The sequence below is a fragment of the Homo sapiens genome, chromosome 6, assembly GCF_000001405.40.
Source record: "Homo sapiens chromosome 6, GRCh38.p14 Primary Assembly".
Taxonomy (NCBI): Eukaryota; Metazoa; Chordata; class Mammalia; order Primates; family Hominidae; genus Homo; species Homo sapiens.
In genome coordinates, this window is record NC_000006.12 from 92,370,986 (window position 1) to 92,390,703 (window position 19,718).

Genomic DNA, 19,718 nt, shown 5'->3' on the forward strand with positions numbered 1-19,718 from the left:
AAACCTGTTGGGACTGTGGATATCACATTCTTTGCCACTGTACTTTATTGCCTCATAATTCAGAGAATTTAAAGAATGATCTTGGTTGCATGAAAGGAAATATCATGGCTTCAGAATAATGAACCATAAGAAGAAAAAGTATCAATAAAAAATAGTCATTAAATAATGAAGCCTTAGGTTAAAAAACTACCTTATTTTCCATGGCAGCTACCTAGTGTGGTAATGTGGATCGCTTCAAGGTAGCAAGTTATAGAATACTAGTGAGAAAAGATTAGTACCTTCAAAACAATATGGTTTTTGTTTTGTTTTGTTTTGTTTGAGGAGAGCTCTAGTAAAAAAAAAAAAAAAACTATGCATACAGTTGATTTTGGAAGAACTTTGTACTTAAAGGGAGAATGATGCAAGCAAAGACACCAAGTGGTAAGAGCAGATTACTTAGAATCTAAGTTCCTAGGTGTTTTTTGTACCTAATCTGATTGAAAAAGCCCTCATTTTTAAGCAACAAATCATGTTTAAGATATTAATCAAAGGCTAAAGATTTATAAGAAAATCATGGGTGGGAAGAGGACAGAGACCTCACAGGCAGGGGAGAAACCACAGTTTGCAAAAGCCCACACTTAATTCTGTAAATGCTACTGTGGACCTCTGATAATGAGGCCACTTCTATCCTACACCCTGAGTCGACTCAACAATGTCAGTGTTGGGTTTCAAAGTTAAAGCAGATGTTTTATTCTACTGGAATGATAAGGCCAAGCTTGACAGTGTGGAAAAAACTTGGAATAACTCAAAAAGTAACAGTGAGAACTTCCTAGAAGAATATAAAGCTGATTTAGAGAGGAAGGTGGAGAAGAATAAGTACTTAAATATTAAATAAAAGATTCAGTTTAATGGAAAGAAAAAATGGTAACATTGAGCTCTTAACTCCAACCCTGTAGCAGTTGTTGCTGGTCTCTGGATAACACCAAGAATACACAGACCACAGACTCAAGCCATAATGTACCTGTGAATATCTGTATTTATTTTGTGCCCTCAAGTTGCTAACATTGGTATCTGTAGCTCCCTCTTCTGAAGCAAGTATGAACAAATTTCAAATTCACTTCCCTGTTTTAAACTTTTCGTTAATACTGCCTCCAGTAGCATCCCTTATATCACCACTCTAAGAAACTGCTTTCTTTCTTCACTTCTTATACAACTTATCTCTTTGACACAGCGCATCATAGCAGAGTAGCTTATCTGTAAAGCACAGGATCATACAGACAGGTCTCCTCATTCACTCTGCTCCCAACCTTATCCTTCTTTTCGCACTGTGTTGTACACCAGCCCAACACATCTTATCTTCCACTGACTACTACCATGATTTTCTGTTCATCAGTGCTCCCTCTTTCACATCACCCTTAAACTAGCCTTCCGTGGCAGCTGCATTCTCAGCTTTGATTTCTCACTGTGTTTCCTAGCATGGTACCTTGAAACTAATAGGCAAACAACAAATATTTTTGAATAAATTAACAAACCACAAATACACTCACTTACCTACACCTACTTAGGAAAACTGGAGAGCTTTAGAGGCAAAGAAACCAAATGAGTAAGGAGCATTGTTACTGTAGCCCCGCATGACTAGTAAAGGGTATAAGGAAGTCATCTGCACGGATAGAAATGCTCTCTGTTTTGTTTTGGGTGTTGGTTATGAAAGCCTATACAATTGTCAAAATTCATTAAATCTTAACATCTCTGCAGTGAATTATATCTTAATTATACATCCATTAAAAGTGAAAAAGTGAAAGTCACAACACCCTGACCTCGACAACTCAGAAAGTTCATATTAAATTAGGCAGAGGTTTCCCAACTACTGGTGGTGAATTCCAGGTAGACTCAGTTATTGGAGGGCATCCACAAACCTGGAAGTAAACTAGGCATTCTCTGTAGATCAAATAAATATGTGACATGCTAAAATTTTTAAAGTTTAAGAAGATTCACACTGTTGCAATCGATTAAATGGAACTGTATATAAAATTGTTTATAGTTTATTTCTAATTTATTTTTAACAATCAACTGATAGTAATATAGAGTGGTTATATTTACATTTGTTTTACATTACAAAGGGTTATACTGCTGAGATGGTGAGAATGATTGATATCAGGTAAGTAAAACTGTTTTGTTAATTATACAGAATCACATACATCAAAAGTTGCCATGTTCATCAGTGACTTTGGAGACTTGATTACTTGCACCCAAATATTTCAGTTTCAGAAAGGAAAACATGTTCAGCTGCTTAGCAGTTTGAGGAACTATAATTGACAGGTTTCTGGCATTAAAAAAGACAAGATGGTATGTCTTTAGAAGTTCTGACATTATTCAACATACATTCTGCCTAGTATGTGTATGAGGGAAACCCTGGCAAATTGAGAACAAACGGGGAATAATTTGTTCTTCTCAGTTATATTCTACATGGAGCACAGAAGACCTGCCTTTTTCTCTCAGTTGTGCCACTAATCCACTCTGTGATAATGTGAACAAGTTAGTTAAATTCTGATCAAGTTCTTCATCTGTAAAAACACATGAGATTTAAACATTCTATGAGAGTCAAATGGCTATTTTCCTATGATATTTCTCATGTGCCCTGAGCTACCCATTTGGCTAATGCATGGGTATTACTATATATTATCAGCAAACGTTCTCCTGCCTCAACATTGTAATATAACATTGGAAAACAAGTTGTGTTCCTGTTTGACTTTTACTTCTTTATAGCTTCATTTTAATGAGAAACATGCAATCCCTCAGCCTCTGAAAGCAGAGCCAGCACAAACTGAATCCACCAAATAAACAGAGAGGTAATACTGATGCTCATTCTGGAGGCAGTTACAGAATGTGGATTTGGTTTGTCGAGTAAGATATTTTAAGTGCTATTATCACATTTCCCAGCTTGAATAATCTGAAAGAAACTTAATCCCAAAGGAAGGAAAAACAGCTGTATCAAACAATTTATTTAGACAATCATTAGGTCTCTGTGAACTGTTTATTCTAAATAAATTTGAACAAAAACATTGTTTTTATAATTGTACTTGTTTTAATAAAATGAGAAGCTCATTTTTTCTTTATTTATAACTTAAAAATAGCAGGATAAAGAAGGTTTCTTTTCTGTTTTCTAAAGATGATAAAGTCTAAGGGAAAATTATCCTCACAATTAAATATCCTATAAGTGTAGTTTTTAAAAATGCAGAAAATAAAAAAAGGAGATTTTGTAAACAGCATGAGTAATAATAATAATAATAGCATTTTGGGGATCATTTACCAAGTACAAGCACATAGCAAAAAGTTTATTTTGCTAAGAATATGTGCAATACATATGTGCAGAAAAGGTAACTGATTTATTTTAAACATAAATCACCATGTTGTTAATAGTTAAATTCAATACAGATGATAATACATTCTAAATTTTCTAAATTGAAAATAAAGACAAGGTGAGTTACCAGATATTTGTTTCATATACCCTAAAACTACCTCTGAAGAGCTTAAAGATCATAATATATTTTAATTGGATTTAGAGTATCAAGTACTAGAATTATCCTTCCTATTGGCTTTATAGAAAAAAATTTAACAATTTTATAATATTAGGAAGTATTTTCTTGTTGTGTAAAGCTTTACATGTTTATTTAAATGTTTAGGGAATATTTTTATAATGTCCAATATGAAGATTTTTAGAGAAAATATTTTTGACTAAGAAAATTTGATGATAATACTGATATTATCCATTTAAAGGTAATAGGCATGCTTCGTAGAAAAATGATTATCACAGCTCATCTGCCACAATCTTTAGAAAGCCAAATATCAAATACAAAATAAATCACCTTCAGATAAATTGAGAATCAACTAATTCTTATTATGCAGTGTTTGAATTTATCTGGCAGAAAGAAAGGTAATTGGCCAGAGTAATTTTTCTTAGCATCAGCCTTGGGTTGTGTCTGCAAAACACACTTGATGTGGAGTTATAAAAATTATAATGTCACTCACAATAATATGGACTATCTTCATAGTTAATTTCTGTTCCTTCTCCAGGGCTCCAGGATCTCTAGCTGTAGCTGGTTCCTCAGCATCTTAACATCTCTTTTTTAATTTTCTGTAACGTTGCCTACATGTCATCGACTTTTCTTTAGAATCTGATTTCAAAGTTTCTTCTGCTTCCTACCCAGATCCTGATTGACACAGTGGAGCATCTCACTGGAGGAATATAATTTTACAAACATAGGCCGGACTTTCAGGAGGGAGGCTAGGTCTGGACACTAGATTTCAGAAGCATGGCATATAGTGGGAGTTGAAGCCAAGAGAATAATTTCGATTACCCAGGTGGAGCATGTAGAGTATGTAAAAAGGCCAAAGAAAGAAGATATAGAGAAGAGACTAAAAAAAAAAAAATCAAGGCAAGAAGAGAATTACTAGAAATTGACACTTAAATGAAAAGCAGGGGGTTACAAATAGGAGAGAACTATCAAAAGTTATAAATAATAAAAAGCACACTGTATACATATTCAAAAGCAATCATCGAATCGGAAGAGTAACATGTTCCTTTTTATTGCCAGAAAGTTTCAAGAAAACTAAAAATCTGGAAAATGTTTTTTATACAATAAAGTAGGTAGAAAGCAAAGTTAAAAAGAATAATCTTTTGTAAGTCCTGGTGTTTGTGGGAAGAAGAGAGGTAGAGTACTGGGCTTGTAGTAACTAGTAGAAAAATAGTATTTGGTGGAAAATAAAGGATAAAAATTTTAGGGAACACAATTCGTTGTATAAATTTTCAATTTATTTTCCTTTTTTTGTGTGGTATGAGGGTCTTACTATGTTGCCCAGGCTGTTCTCAAACTCAGTTTTCTCAGCCTCAGTTTTCCAAGTAGCTGAGATTATAGGAGTGTGCCACAGAACTTGGCTATTTCTGTCTATTTCTGACATTAAAAACCAGAGAAATATATATATATTTTTTGCCCTCAGCCCAGCATATCTTAATCAAAAACCCCTTATTTGGGAAAAAATACCATTGGCTAACCCAGCTTCAAATGCTGCAATATTTGACTAAAGAGCTTCAGAAACCATAAGAATCTATTTTAAAATATATCAAAAAATTATACCCCTGGAATAAGTAACATTCCCTTAATTCAACATGATGATGTTGACATTTTTGATCTCATAACATGGGTCAACAGCCTCACAAATCTATGACAAGTGTTCATAGGCTTCTTCACACACACATGAATGCACAGAAATGCAAAATACTGCCGGGCTCTTCTAACCTGTCAGAAAAGCACCCTCTATTCTAATCAGGCTTTGTCTGGCCCAGGAGACCTATTTGAGGCTCTCATCTAGACTGGTGCAGACCTTCCAGAAGTCTTGTTCATGTTCTAAATAAGTCAACTGACAAATTTTTATCAACATCTGTGACTTCTTTGCACTAAAATATCTTGAGATGTTTATATAAAATGTATATGACCCGGCGCTTTCCCAGACCATTTGAATTAAAAATTATTTTGATGGGATCAAGACTCTTCACGTTAATGAGGTTCTTGGTATATTTGTTTGCACAAAAAAATTCTGAGAAATATTGCCCTCAGCTGGATACAAATGTAGACGGATGAAGTAGCTGGGAACCCTTGTTTGACTAGCAGTTGCTTCTCTTCTCTAGGAGACCCTGATGTATTTTGTTTCCTTTGAATAAAACTTCTATTAAACTATGTCAAATTAAATCTAAATTAAACAAACACCAATTATAAATTGTCATTAATCTAAAAAGTAAAAATACTCCACTATCCAGGAAACAGGAGACAAGTTATGAAGGAATTGCTTGTTTTAGAGTCTCAAATCTTTCTCTTCTGTGGCTAGATTCCTGACGTCACTTTTGGCAGTGTAACAAGTACAGCTAGAGGAGACGACACAACTGTGACAATTACCGGTGGAGCAAATGGAAGTACTCTAATGTGTTAGCATTATTCAGCAGGCATCTGGTTTTTTAAAATTCCTAGATATTAAGGTTACTGGGGGCTCTTCTACAGACCACAGATATGAATACCATGAAGGTGAAATGCTGAAACAGGATTATTTTAGTGATAACTGACAATAGCAAAATGTCTTTAAAACAATAACTCTTTTACTAACAGTACAATAAACAAATGTCACCACTAAAAGTTAAATGTTTGTACATTTAGAAACAGGTAGCTCTAACTGATGAATGCACTATTAGTTTTATTACTTATCTTTATGGTTGTCAGGGTCCATTTACTTGAATAATACATATAAGCAGAGTGTGCTGATTCTAATAAACTTATCTGGGGCTTCAACACCATGTGCAAACCATCTGAGCTACTCTTTACAGTTGATGTTAACCAGAAAACCTTAATAAAATAAAAGCATATTATTCTTACAGTTACTCATAGTTTATTCATTTTGAAACACATTCTGCCCTTAAATACTTGCATGCCCATCTTGTTGAAGATAATGGGATTTGTCTTGGGTAATAAAAGTCAGAATATGGCTAAATAGACATTATGGAATTTATATTAATTTATAAGCATGTATCTTCATTACCGTATAAAGTGAATATAATTTGGCTTTCTGTGATCAGTTTTTGCCTTGCCTCTCCAAAAATTTTTTACAAAATATGGTACATAAATTGATACAACGTATCTGAACAATAATTAACTCCATTATTGCTGTACCATCTGCCCTTTTCATGTGCCATCATTTCAACTAATCACTTATAATAGTGTTCAAGATGCCTAGAGTGTCTGAAGTTATCAGAGCAAAATTCGTGGTTTAATAAGCAATGCCAGTGGTAGAGAGCCCTGGGTGCTAATTGGGCAAGGCCTCTCCTCCTCCCACTGCCTTTCTACTCCCTTTGAAACAGTGTAAGGCAATATGTGAAGAGTGAATGTATGCACAATGGAGGAGAGTGCCTCAAGCATCCTTCCATAAATTCCCAATCCACAGGCCTCACTTCTTCTTTTATGCACCTCTCTCTACTACGTAAGTCTATCACTGTCTGGTTCACCTTCACAATAAAAGCAATTCTCCAGAGAAAAAATCCATCACCAGAAATGATACCAGCCCATATCATACACATAAGAAAAAGGATGGCTTTAGTACATTAGCCATACACAACATTTTAGCTGGTTAATGCTTTCTGGCTACTTTTTTTCTCAAGAAATGTTTCATCAACTATTTTCGAACTTTTACTGCATTTTTAGGCTTTTTTCTATCTGTTGTCGTCCTTCCACTTACCTAATTTATTTATTTATACTCTTCTTCTCTCTATTTATTCCTTCCAAAATTATTATTTAATATTACCGAGAGAACTTAAATTAAAAGTAAGGAGGGACTGATATTCTTCTGGTTAAATGTCAAATGTATAAATATATGACCTTTGTCTTTGTGTGTTAATGAAGGTAATTTTAAAAGTATTGTAGTCAAGTTCAACTGACAGACTATCTGTCAACACTCTGCAAGGGAAATTAAGGCCTACATATTCTACATTAATCACCTGTAACCTGGTACCGAAATATACAAGATTTTCAGGAGCTACCTTGTATTTGAAATGCTTTGTTGGAGTTTTGTTTTGGCATTTAGGGGAACTGAGGCTTGTTTAAGTCTTTTAGTCTTCTTTTGTCAAGAAACCAACGTCCCACCTTTGTGGATAATAAGAACCAAACATCTTTAACTTAAAAGCAGGCCAAGTTCTCACAAAAATGTGAAATAGAAAACAATTGCCTTTGGCTTCCTGTCCCCTTAGGGGCTTCACGTTTTCCTGGCATTATTCTGTGTCGTATAGAAAACCACTACCAGGAAAGGAGCTAAAATTGATGCACATGGAGTGATAAGTGACTGCATCTAATCAAATGACTTTTATTATTCTGCAACAACTTGTGAGCTTCATATTGATTATGATCTGAATCATCGCTAATAAGAAGACAGTTATTATTTTTATTTTGGAGTGAAATATATCTCACTACAAAAAATTCTAACTTGGCTAGTGAGCTAGATCGGCTCCGTTCCTTGCTAAGAAAGAAGGCTACATATGCATACTATGTATGTGCAATTCCATCTGCATTCAAAAGTAGGTGACAGTTCACTTGATTCTTGCAGTCATGCTCCTACTTGTAGCTACAAGATGAACAGAGATATCCGCAGTCTTACTGTGACATAGTGCTTCCTTCGCATTTAGGAGAAAGTTTATAGAGAATTCTGGCAAAATTATCATGCCAGAATAAATGTATTTTCTAAAAAAATGCATTGTTCTATTTTTTGCAAGACAATGTCTTTTTTTCAGGGCTAAATATTTTTATCTGAATGCAGGTAACGTTAATATAATCAGAATAGACCCATTTATAGATTAATAAATCCATCTCTTCTCAATAGCCTCTTTGCATCTTCTATGGAGCAAACTGTTCTAAAATATGTTTACAAATCAATATTTAGGGATCAGACTTGGAATGAAGGGAAAACGATATTTTAAAACTTTTTTTTGTTTTTTGAGACTGAGTTTAGCTCTTGTCACCCGGGCAGGAGTCTAATGGCACAGTCTTGACTAACTGCAACCTCTGCCTTTTGGGTTCAAGCAATTCTCCTGCCTCAGCCTCCTGAGTAGGTGGGATTACAGGCACCCACCATCATGCCCAGCTAATTTTTGTATTTTTAGTAGAGACGGGGTTTCACCATTTTGGCCAGGCTGGTCTCGAATTCCTGACCTCAGATGATCCACCCACCTCAGCCTCCCAGAGTGTGGGGATTACGGACGTGAACTACTGCAATTTTAATGGTAAAATGGCTACATATTTCAATATGTAAGTATAAATATCCTTGATCTGGGCATGATGGCTCACGCCTGTAATCCCTGCACTTTGGGAGGCCGAGGCAGGTGGATCATTTGAGCCCATGAGTTTGAGACCAGCCTGGGTAACATGGCAAAACCCTGTCTATACAAAAAATACAAAAAATTATCTGGGTGTGGTGGCATGTGCTTGTAGCCCCAGCTACTTGGGAGGCTAAGGTGGGAGGATCACTTGAGCCTGGGAAGTTGGGGCTGCAGTGAGCTGTGATTGCACAACTGTGCTTCAGCTTGATCAACAGAGTAAGACCCTGTATTATCCTCCCTCCACACAAAAAAAGAACAAACATCTTTGAACAAAATATCTAATTTCCTCTAGAATAATGCATACCTTATAAATATATATGCATATGTATATATTTCACCCATATTAGTCTATTTGATTATACCATTGGTTACATATATAAAAATGCTTATTTTAATAAGAAGAAATATTCTGAGGAACTAGAATTTAAGTTTACAGTTATACTCTCTTTATTCAGGATGATTATTTATTTTGTATGCTTCAGGATATCGTAGATAACTCAAAATGATGGTTCTTGACTACTAGTAATACACACTCAATATCAACACCTGTGAAGAAGTCAAGATAGTTTCTAAAATGAAGAGTTTATAAAGACCTTCCTTTTTAAGAACTGCTCATTTGTATTCTTGAATATTCTTTTAGAAGCATTAATTGTCAAGATGTTGAAAAAAACTGTTTTACATAATGTTGCTGCCTGTTCTTGAGGAAAAACTTAAAATCAGCATTATTTCCTTAAGTAGCTATTCATTTTTAAACTATTAACTATTTAATAAACATCATGAGTTTTTTTGATGCCATAGGACACCTACAGTCGTTCATAGTCTCTATTCTAACCAGAAATATCTTTAATTCAGAAAAGGTAAAATGTAACTTCCAAGATAATGCATGCATTAGGAAAATTTTGCAAGTGCTTAAGTGATTATTTAACATGATTCATTGTTGTGAGCGTATTATAGATTATACAATGAATTAAATTAATAAGTAAAAATAGTAACATCTCTTTTTCAAATTACAATTAGTGGCCTTAAATTTGAAAGAACATTTGTGGTTCACACCTATAATAAACCAGGCACTAATGAAATACTGCTACAAATTGCTGCTAAAGTCTACATCATCAGTATGAAAATTATCTCAGTGTGTCAATGGTAACTCTTTCATTACCTTTCTGACAATTTCAGTTTCAGTGGTTTCTCATGTGTAAGACAAGTTCCACTCTCAGAAGCAGGCAGAATTCTTGGTTACCCCATTCCTCCTTGTGAATCTGATTAAAGCTCCAGGAACAGCTGTAAATTTTACCTTTTACATGAAGTTTTTTTTAATCTCCAGTTCTTATCTACCTCGATATTTTTCCAGAGTCCACAGTGTTAACAATTATACATCTTCCTTTAGCCTTAATTTTATGTCAGTCAGTGTTAGATGTAAACATATAACTACTATACAAACTAAGTTGTAAACTAGCTTTATAATCTAGTTTATACTCTTTTGGAAGAGTGTAAATTTTCCATCTCAGATTTCAATTGTTTCCACAGTTCCTAGTGCCATGTTGCAATACTCTTAGTTTGACTAGCAAACATTAGAGTTGTAGTGATCAAGGCATTTTAAATATTAGCAGAACAAGTAATATTCATTGTACATCAAAATTTATATTCTTGTGACTTCATTGTACATCAAAATTTACATTCTTGTGACTTCTAGGTTCTAAAGAAATATAGAATAAATTTCTAGGCTTTCTATTTTATCAGCAAAAACATCTTCATTTCCTTAGATTCTCCCTTTTCTGATTTTTAGAGCATCATCATACTTGGATTTATGTTACTTCTTTCAATTGTCTCCTAAAATACATCTGGGAAAACTGAACATAGGTTCCAAATGTAGTTGTCAAGAACTGTGAAGAGTGATATTTCACCTAATTGCAAGCTGAAAGTTAGCCTGCCATAGTATCTTGGGTGCTAACAGAAGACACGAGCCTCCTATATAGGAGACAATGGACTTTATTCCTCACTGCAAAATGAGCAGTTGAGCTTTATATTTTTGTCAATCCCCCTTGTACTCAAAGTCAAACAATGGTGATGGCAAGTGGCCCAAGTAGATGTCGAGTAGGCAGAGAGATTTGTGTTACAGGTAAGAAACACCAAACCTAGGAAACACCAATTTTTAAATTGGGCTGCAAGTGAACTTTTCACTGGAGGGAGACATCCGTCTTATATTGGACAGAGAATAAATCTTCCCTCTGCTCCTGAAGAAGACACTATCTTTATCTACCAAGCCACTTTGCTATGCAAACGTCCTTGAAAAGATAGTCCAGAAAAAAAGCTGTCAGTTACTTTCTTTGCAAGACGTGCAGACATATGAACTCTCTCCCAAGGGTGGTCTCATTAACTTAGAGCAAAATGAAAGTATAGATATCTTTTTTGATGTGCAATAAGTGACAATAATTTGCAGACAGAAGATATGCTCCCACACACTGGTATAATATAATATAATCAATTCTGATTCTTACACATGACAGTGTCAATTGACATACCATTGCAGTAATATGTTGCCTAATTCTTGACTACCAAATAGAAATTCAATAATGCAATTGCATTTAGACCCAATAAAAAATTTCTCATTGGATCCATACAATTATACAATGTTTCACAGGTTCAGTTTTTCAAGAGACGGTGTCCTAGCTAGAGTAGCAGATACATACAGCTTGTCTTCCAGCACATACTACACCAGTCAATAGTCTCCCAAAAATCTACTTAATCCTGTAGCATTGTATAAAGGAGTGTTCATTCTTTGACCAGAAGATTCCATGGGACCATAGTAGGACATTTGGGTTATCATATGGGAAGAGTTTTATTTTTAAAATTTTTTACAATGATTATAGATCATTTTAATCATTTATATTTCTTTCATTGTCTTGATGCCTTCGGAACCATGGCAGCACACAGAATACTTTAACATTTAAAAACAATAACAATAAATTATATGCATAATAATGTTTCAGTTAAGCTCTTAAATTAGCAGATAGGTTAATAGAAAGTTGTAGGAATGAAAAACACATGTCCCTGGAGTGTTAAACAGTCTGCTCCAAAGCAGGGGTATTTCTACTTTGAAATAGTTAAAGTAATATTTTACATCTCAAAAACTTTCACAATATGCTTTGGACTTGATTGCTTTGTCAAATGTCTCCAATCTTGTGAAAATATTCCCTGATATTTAATTAACTGAAGCCTTCTTCTCTTCAGATACAACCTCAATTGTAATTAAAAATGCATGTGTCAACATTTCTAATTAGTGGTGGTAATTAATATTTATTGAGGGTGCACAGGGCAGGTGGTGATGTTCTAGACCCTTGAGTAGCATGAGCAGAATTTCAGAGAAAAATACATTATGGCTGCATGTATATGGCAAGGCGCACTCACAGGGTTTGTAAATTAAAGGATGAGGAGTTACTTTAGTGACTGTCATGTTGCCCCAAATATGCCATGATTTGACAATAGAGAAGCAAGCCAAGATGAAAACGATATGGCCAACATTTTCCCCTCTTAAATTTGTATTTCACTTCTTGCAATTTGATTATCTAAAGACTAGAACTAATTAAGATTTATAACAAACTCATTGAGGCAGCTGTTTGGAAAAGAAAATGATGATTTTGGAAAAGTAACGACTACAAATAGGATTGATTATTTGTTAACAAACACTATGAATACAGAAAATGCTGAAATTAGTTAGCTAAAATGGCAAACTGTGTAGGTTCAATAACGGTATGTTTATACTGAGTCTTAATATCCTGTGATCTTTATCTGACATTTCACCCTGGAGATGTTTATACTATGAAGTACTTTGAAGTTTCATGCATGAAAAAGTACTCTGATGCTCTTCAGTTTTATTAAAAGTTGAATGGAAAAAAAGAACAAAACAGAGCCAAGAGCAATAATTATTAATATAAACCACATAATATTCAAAACAAAATTAGATGATAATATAGCACAAAAGCTAACAAGATAGGTTGGAATAAAACAAGGTACAATATTGTATTTAGGTCCAAAGATTAAACAAATAATATTATATATCAAAACAAGTTTAATTTTAATCATTTAAGAATATATTTTTAAAGCATAAATGTATTTGAAATGATAAGGGAACAGTTTCATGTACTCTGTAATCAAAAGATATATAAATAGAAGGGATAGTATTTAAATGACACCAAAATCAGGATATTTTTAAAAAATCATAAACTTGAACACTTTAAAATTATGTAGACATACATTACATAGGTAAAATGCATGTATATACAAACACTATATATACTTGTAATTAAGAACTGTGAAAAGCAAGTGACAAAAAGCAAAACATATGAAAATATGAAACACCAAAGCTTATCCTTAATTCTATTGTTGTTTCTAAGGAAAAACAGTAACACTGAAATAAGAAAAGATAAACAAGGGGAATTCATGGGTAATTCACAAAAGAAAAATACAAAAATGAACAATAAGCATACAAAAATGTATTTACAGTCAATTAAAACTGAAGAAATAGAAAATCCAACTTAAAATGGCAATAAGGTTTTTTTGACCTACTACATTAGTACATGTTAAAATGTTTCAAATTTTGTTTTCATGTGTTGAGAACCTGTCATATTTATATACTGTTGATGGGATGCTGAAAATTAGTACCATCTTTTTGGTGGACATTTGAGTCTATGTATCAATTCCACTTCTAGGTATTTCTCTGAGGAGTTAATCAGCAACTGGCCAAAGTTGAAGTGACAAGGACTGGAGTAGTTAGTGCCCTGAATAGCAAAAACCTAAAAACAATCAAAATATTAGTCAATAGCAAATTTGTTAAATTATGAAGTGCTCATTCACTGGCATAATATGCAACTGTATTAAATATTTAGGTTAGAATGCATTGATATGGAATATCAATGATAAGTTAAGCGTGAAAAATGGATTACAGAAGAATATATAGAGCAAAACGTAAGCAGTGTTTTTTCAAAGCATGTTAGTGGAATATAACTTCCACAAAAAAGAGTTATGTAATCTGTATAATCAAATTGTTTGGAAAATGATGCATATTTTATCCTTTTTTTAGAGAGTCACAAGGCATATGAGTATATTACAGGCACTGAAAAATCTGGCCACAAAACAATTTTGTTTAGGTCAAATTACTTGCTAAAATTATTTTGTGTTTTTTTGCATAATTTTTTGGAATATTTCCGGTCTAGTACTCCATATTTCACTTTGGAAAATGTTGCTGTGCATGCATAGAAACAAAAATCTGTCAAGGGAGATACCAAATTAACAATGGTCACCCTAGAGGATGAGAAATTTAGAAACTTTAATGTTCTAGTTTATACATTTCTCACATTGCACCATATTTGTTTTTTTTTAACTTGGGTAATTAGAAAAATAAAAGTTTAAAAGGAATGAGTGAGTGAAAATGAACATAAGTGCAGGCTGCTGGTTTAAATAGCACCTTCCATATAGCCTTGTAGACTCCTCGCTTAAATATCTAATAAAGTTTTCAAAAAATTACTAACTTACAAAACACCTAAAACTACACCTTACAGAAATATTATAATCAGAATCTTTGGAGTATTTACCCTAACCATAAAGTCATGGGCCTGAATATAGAAAATATATTCATGTTTCATTTTATGAAATATAATAGCATTGTCAGCCTCAAAAATGGTACTCATTTTGTTTCTTTCCCATTGCATATTTTCAGTCCCAGAGTCCCAGCTTTGATACCAACCAAATGCTGCCACTTCCTATAGCATGCTTTTGGAATGGCCAGAGCAGTGATCATCTGCTGCACCTATCTCCTGTAATTTTTAAATCCATCTGGACATGGCAAATTTCTGGAAACAAAGGTCAGAAATGAAGTTAGCCAGTGGTGCTTGCATCCAGTCTAAGGTGTCGTTTCCACCAGTAAAGTGTGGTGGTCTGAAAGGAGAAGACCAAACTACTGAGAGCAGGCACTGTATGAATTAAAGATGATCATGGATGCCATAGTTCAGAGAATCCAAAAAACAAATAATGAGGATAGTAGAAGAGATACATTCAGTTTAGCAGAGGCACAGAGAAAACTGCCAACTGAGCTGGTTGCTACATTAATCTGCCATCCTCCATTTCTCCCACTAGTGGTTAACCTAAAAAGAGACACTGAGTAAGGTAAAAGGCATGCCATACCCCTTTCATTTACCAAATATGGGGCTCATGAATTAAAGAAATAAACAAACATGGGACCTTTGAAAGGGAAAAGAGACATCAACTTTGTCTTCCTCCACTTACCTTTTAGGATGGTGCAGGAACTATAAGAAAATTTTGACAGCTACTTCCTATCTTCCTTTCTTCACATGAAGTGAAGAAAGTCAGCCACAATGAGAAAAGAAAGATGAGGTAAACATGTCAAAAATGTCTGCCTCAACTACAGAAAAATAAATGGAAATGGAGGAAAATGAAGCTGGTTAAGATGAGGTAAAATTTGCAGAAATTCTAAGCTGTGGGAGTGAGAGAGACTCCACTGCATATGATAAAGGGCACCAATAACACTGCACACGTTCTTCCACTGAACACACAGATCTTGACTCTGATGTACAATATGCCCTATTCTGGATGTTGAGGACATAAGGATAAGCAAAGTGAAGTCTGTTTAAAATTATGATGTGGAAGATATAAGGAACTTCTAAAATACAGACAAAAACCACAGACGTAAAACTCAAAGGCAAATGACAGATACGTGGGCAAGAAAGGGTGAACCAAAAAAAAAAAGGATGATAGCTCTTTAAAAGGTGGGGGTGTGGGTGGATGTGAAACAATTCTCTCAGGAAACAAAGTCAGTTAACCAAGAAACAAGGTACATTTTCTTTGGATTACAAATATTAATACATACAAGGGTTTCATATTCCACCAGAAAAAAAAAAGATTCAAGGATGAAGAAATGCATTATCCTGCAAGCATGTCCTCAAACTTCACATCATACCAAGGACACCCTCTCTTATTACAATATCTCATAAACTTTGACCAGCTCAATAAGATGAAAAACATAAAAGAAGCATAGGAATTGAAAGAAGTCTATAAAACATTATTCTTTGTAAATTATTTTATTTTTTCCCGAGGCACGGGAGAATCAACTGGAAAATAAAAAATCATTAGGATCACTAATTAAAGTGGCTAGTCACAAAATAAATATACACTATCAAGAGTTCTCTTAATTTCCTTACGAGCCAGCAATAATTTGAAAATTTTTGGCAAACGATTAAATCCACAATAATGATAACAATACAAGCACAGGAAAATTCAGTCATTTTGTTTTGTTACTATTTATCATACATATAATAATGGTGAAAAGCTAGTATTAATATGTCAGAACTATTATTTAGCCACAAACAACCGTTTTCGAAAAACTTATGATAGGCCGGGCACGGTGGCTCACGCCTGTAATCCCAGCACTTAGGGAGACTAGGGCAGGTGGATCACGAGGTCAAGAGATCGAGATCATCCTGGCCAACACTGTGAAACCCTGTCTCTATGAAAAATACCAAAGATTAGCTGGGCGTGGTGGCAGGTACCTATAATCCCAGCTACATGGCAGCCTGAGGCAGGAAGGAGGCGGAGGGTGCAGTGAGCCCAGATTGTGCCATTGCACTCCAGCCTGGGCAAAAAGAGTGAAACTGTCTCAAAAATAAAAAAAAAGAAAAGAAAAGAAAAGAAAAACTTATGATAATATAGCCCAATAGTCCAATATTACTTAAGAATAAAACAGAAATATATCACGTCATATATTTTGTCATATAAATTTCTAAAACATATGTTCATAGAAAAAATGAAAAGCTTTCTATCTTAAATGGTGAGATTAAAGGCCATTTTTATATTTCTTAACAATAATCATGTTCTACTTCAGAAAAATGTGTTATTTCAACGAAAAGGCTTATGTACTTCTAGAGATGGAAAAGATGGAACTTGGAGTTAAGTAGCTATAAAAAACATTTTTGTTTTAATTAAGTACTAACCAACAATCATTCAATAGCAAATAGTCTACTGTGGCCCTTTTAATACCAACAATTCTTTCATAGAAAAATAATTGTGCTGATCATAAAAAGTAGTAACTCCAATAACTTGGCTCTGGTGGCAGTATTATGGAGTGTGATCATCTGAATATCACGAATTTAGAGTCATTTTGACAAACGAACTGTGGGTTCACTAATAATCTTCATGGATAATAAAGCATATGACGACTATGTTCTTGAAGGAGTAGCTGGTGAAATACAGTATTTACCAAAAAAAAAATCCCAGGAAATCCTCAAGAAATATTAAAAGAACTAGCTGGAAATGTTTAAAGAATATCAAAGTTCAGAGAGGGGAAAAAGTCATTTGGCTTTGTCTATGTATTAGTTAGGCCTCTCCAGAGAAACAGGATCTGGGAACTAGCATGTCTAGAATTAGTTCCTTCCAGTGGGTTCTTGGTCTCACTGACTTCAAGAATGAAGCCAGGGACCTTGGCAGTGAGTGTTACAGCTCTTAAAAGGTGGTGCGTCCAGAGTCATTTGTTGCTCCTGGTGGGTTCGTGGTCTTGCTGACTTCAGGAGTGAAGCCTCAGACCTTCGCAGTGAGTGTTACAGTTCTTAAAGATGGTTTGTCCAGAGTTTTTTCCTTCAGATGTTCAGATGTGTCTGGAGTTTCTTCCTTCCGGTGGGTTCGTGGTCTCACTTGACTTCAGGAGTGAAGCCGCAGACCTTGGCAGTGAGTGTTACAGCTCTTAAAGGTGGCACGTCCAGAATCGTTTGTTCCTCCTGGTGGGTTTGCGGTCTTGCTAACTTCAGGAGTGAAGCCTCAGACCTTCGCAGTGAGTGTTACAGCTCAGAAAGGTAGTGCGGACCCAAAGAGCGAGGAACAGCAAGATTTACTGTGAATAGCAAAAGAACTAAGCTTCCACACCATGGAAGGGAACCCGAGTAGGTTGCCAGCGCAGGCTTGGGTTGCCAGCTTTTATTCCCTTATTTGGCCCCGCCCATGTCCTGCTGATTGGTCCATTTTACAGAGCAATGATTGGTCCATTTCACAGAGTGCTGATTGGTCCCTTTTTACAGAGTGCTGACTGACGCATTTACAAACCTTTAGCTAGACACAGAGCACTGATTAGTGCGTTTTTACAGAGTGCTGATTGGTGCGTTTACAAACCTTTAGCTAGACACAGAGCATTCATTGGTGCATTTTCACAGAGTGCTGATTGGTGCATTTACAAACCTTTAGCTGGACACAGAGTGCTGACTGATCTGTTTAGAATCCTTTAGCTAGACAGAAAAGTTCTCCAAGTCCCAACCCGACCCAGAAGCCCAGCAGCTTCACCTCTCACTAAGAGTGCCAGAAGCAGAAGGTGGTCATCCCCACTCACGCAGTCAGGCAAGAGTGTGATTCCTCCCTTCCTCCCACTTTCTCTTCTATTTAGGCCCTCAGTGTATTGGATGATGCCCAGCCACACTGGTGAGGACCAACTACATTGTTTAGTTCCTCATCTCAAATGCTAATCTCCTCCAGAAACACCCTCACAGACCCAGAAATAATGTTTAACCAGGTATTTGGGCATCTAGTCAGTTGAAACCTAAAATTCACTATTACAGCCTATATTTATTTTTGTATTATACCTAAGTTTGCTCATATTTTCCTGTAGGAGTTAGCTACAACAATGATGAAGACTACCATGCTTTAAAACAAGTTTTGAAACCATATAGTTAGAAAGACAAAGACATCAACCATCGCCATTTCTAGCACAGTTCTCCTCCTGACATAGAGAAAATTGTCCGAAGTAGAAAGTCTATCTTCCTGACCTATAACATGATTATGTGTCGGTATGTAGTTATTAATTTATTATGTCCTAAATAACTTCAGACTTAGGCATAAATCCCTTCAAGTCTAATTTGGCTGTTTGGTATCCTTAAACAAATATAAATCTCCTATGTGAATGTCATACCAAGAAGCAATTTTAATTCTAAATTATTTGTGTTAGGATATGATGGTTTTAAAAGGTTTTAGCTTAATAAAACATATACTCCTATACATATATATTCAACTCCTTACTCTTGTTTTCACTTCTTTCTTATGTATCTTGATACTGGTTCTTCTTCTCGTATAGCATTAGAGATAGATCAAAATCTTTGCTTTTAAGAACTATTGCAATAAAATCTAATACACCCTAGTTTTTCCCGTCTTTAGTCTTGAAGGAATTAAATTTGCTAGAGTTTTGTGAGACTTTTATTCTTGAAATATATAACTTGTTCAGTGGACCACTAAGTAAAAAATTATCTTCTGAATATATGAAGAATATATAAATTGAGAACACATCAATTCTGTCCCAATAGAAAATACAGTCTTTGACAAAGGGACAACAAATAAACAATCAATTTAAAATCCATGTGTGAATTGCATTAATCATGAAATATTACATTTGATTTATTTTAATTCTAACTTTTAAGGGCATTATATAAGATATATAATAGCTCAGTATTATTTTCCCAAATACAAATTTAGCAATATTTGGAATTAACTTTATAAGATGTTCCTTATTAACTAACTAGAGAATAATTGATTTTCGTTATATTTTTCCTTGGGGATTTACAGAAATTGTCTTTAGAGAATTTAATCCATGAAAACTATGATGATAATATGTTAGAACATATTCATTAAATTCTGGTTTGCCTTTAAATATTTCAACTATTTTCCCTTCAAAATTTCTCATAAACTATTCCATAGTAGACTAAATTCAAATAGGAATGTGATACAAATTTCAATAATGTCTTGTTCATGGCACCAGGAGCATAAATGAAAATTTAAATTGAAAGAG

General features: G+C 34.6%; 1 annotated feature.

Moving 5' to 3' along the window:
* Positions 17,182-18,381: an enhancer, noted in NCBI's record as "BRD4-independent group 4 enhancer chr6:93097885-93099084 (GRCh37/hg19 assembly coordinates)". NCBI's record gives its function as "activates an origin of replication core promoter dependent on BRD2, P300/CBP, MED14 and CDK7 cofactors, and independent of BRD4, by STARR-seq in HCT116 cells {active_cell/tissue: HCT116}" and the evidence as "EXISTENCE:reporter gene assay evidence [ECO:0000049][PMID:35650434]".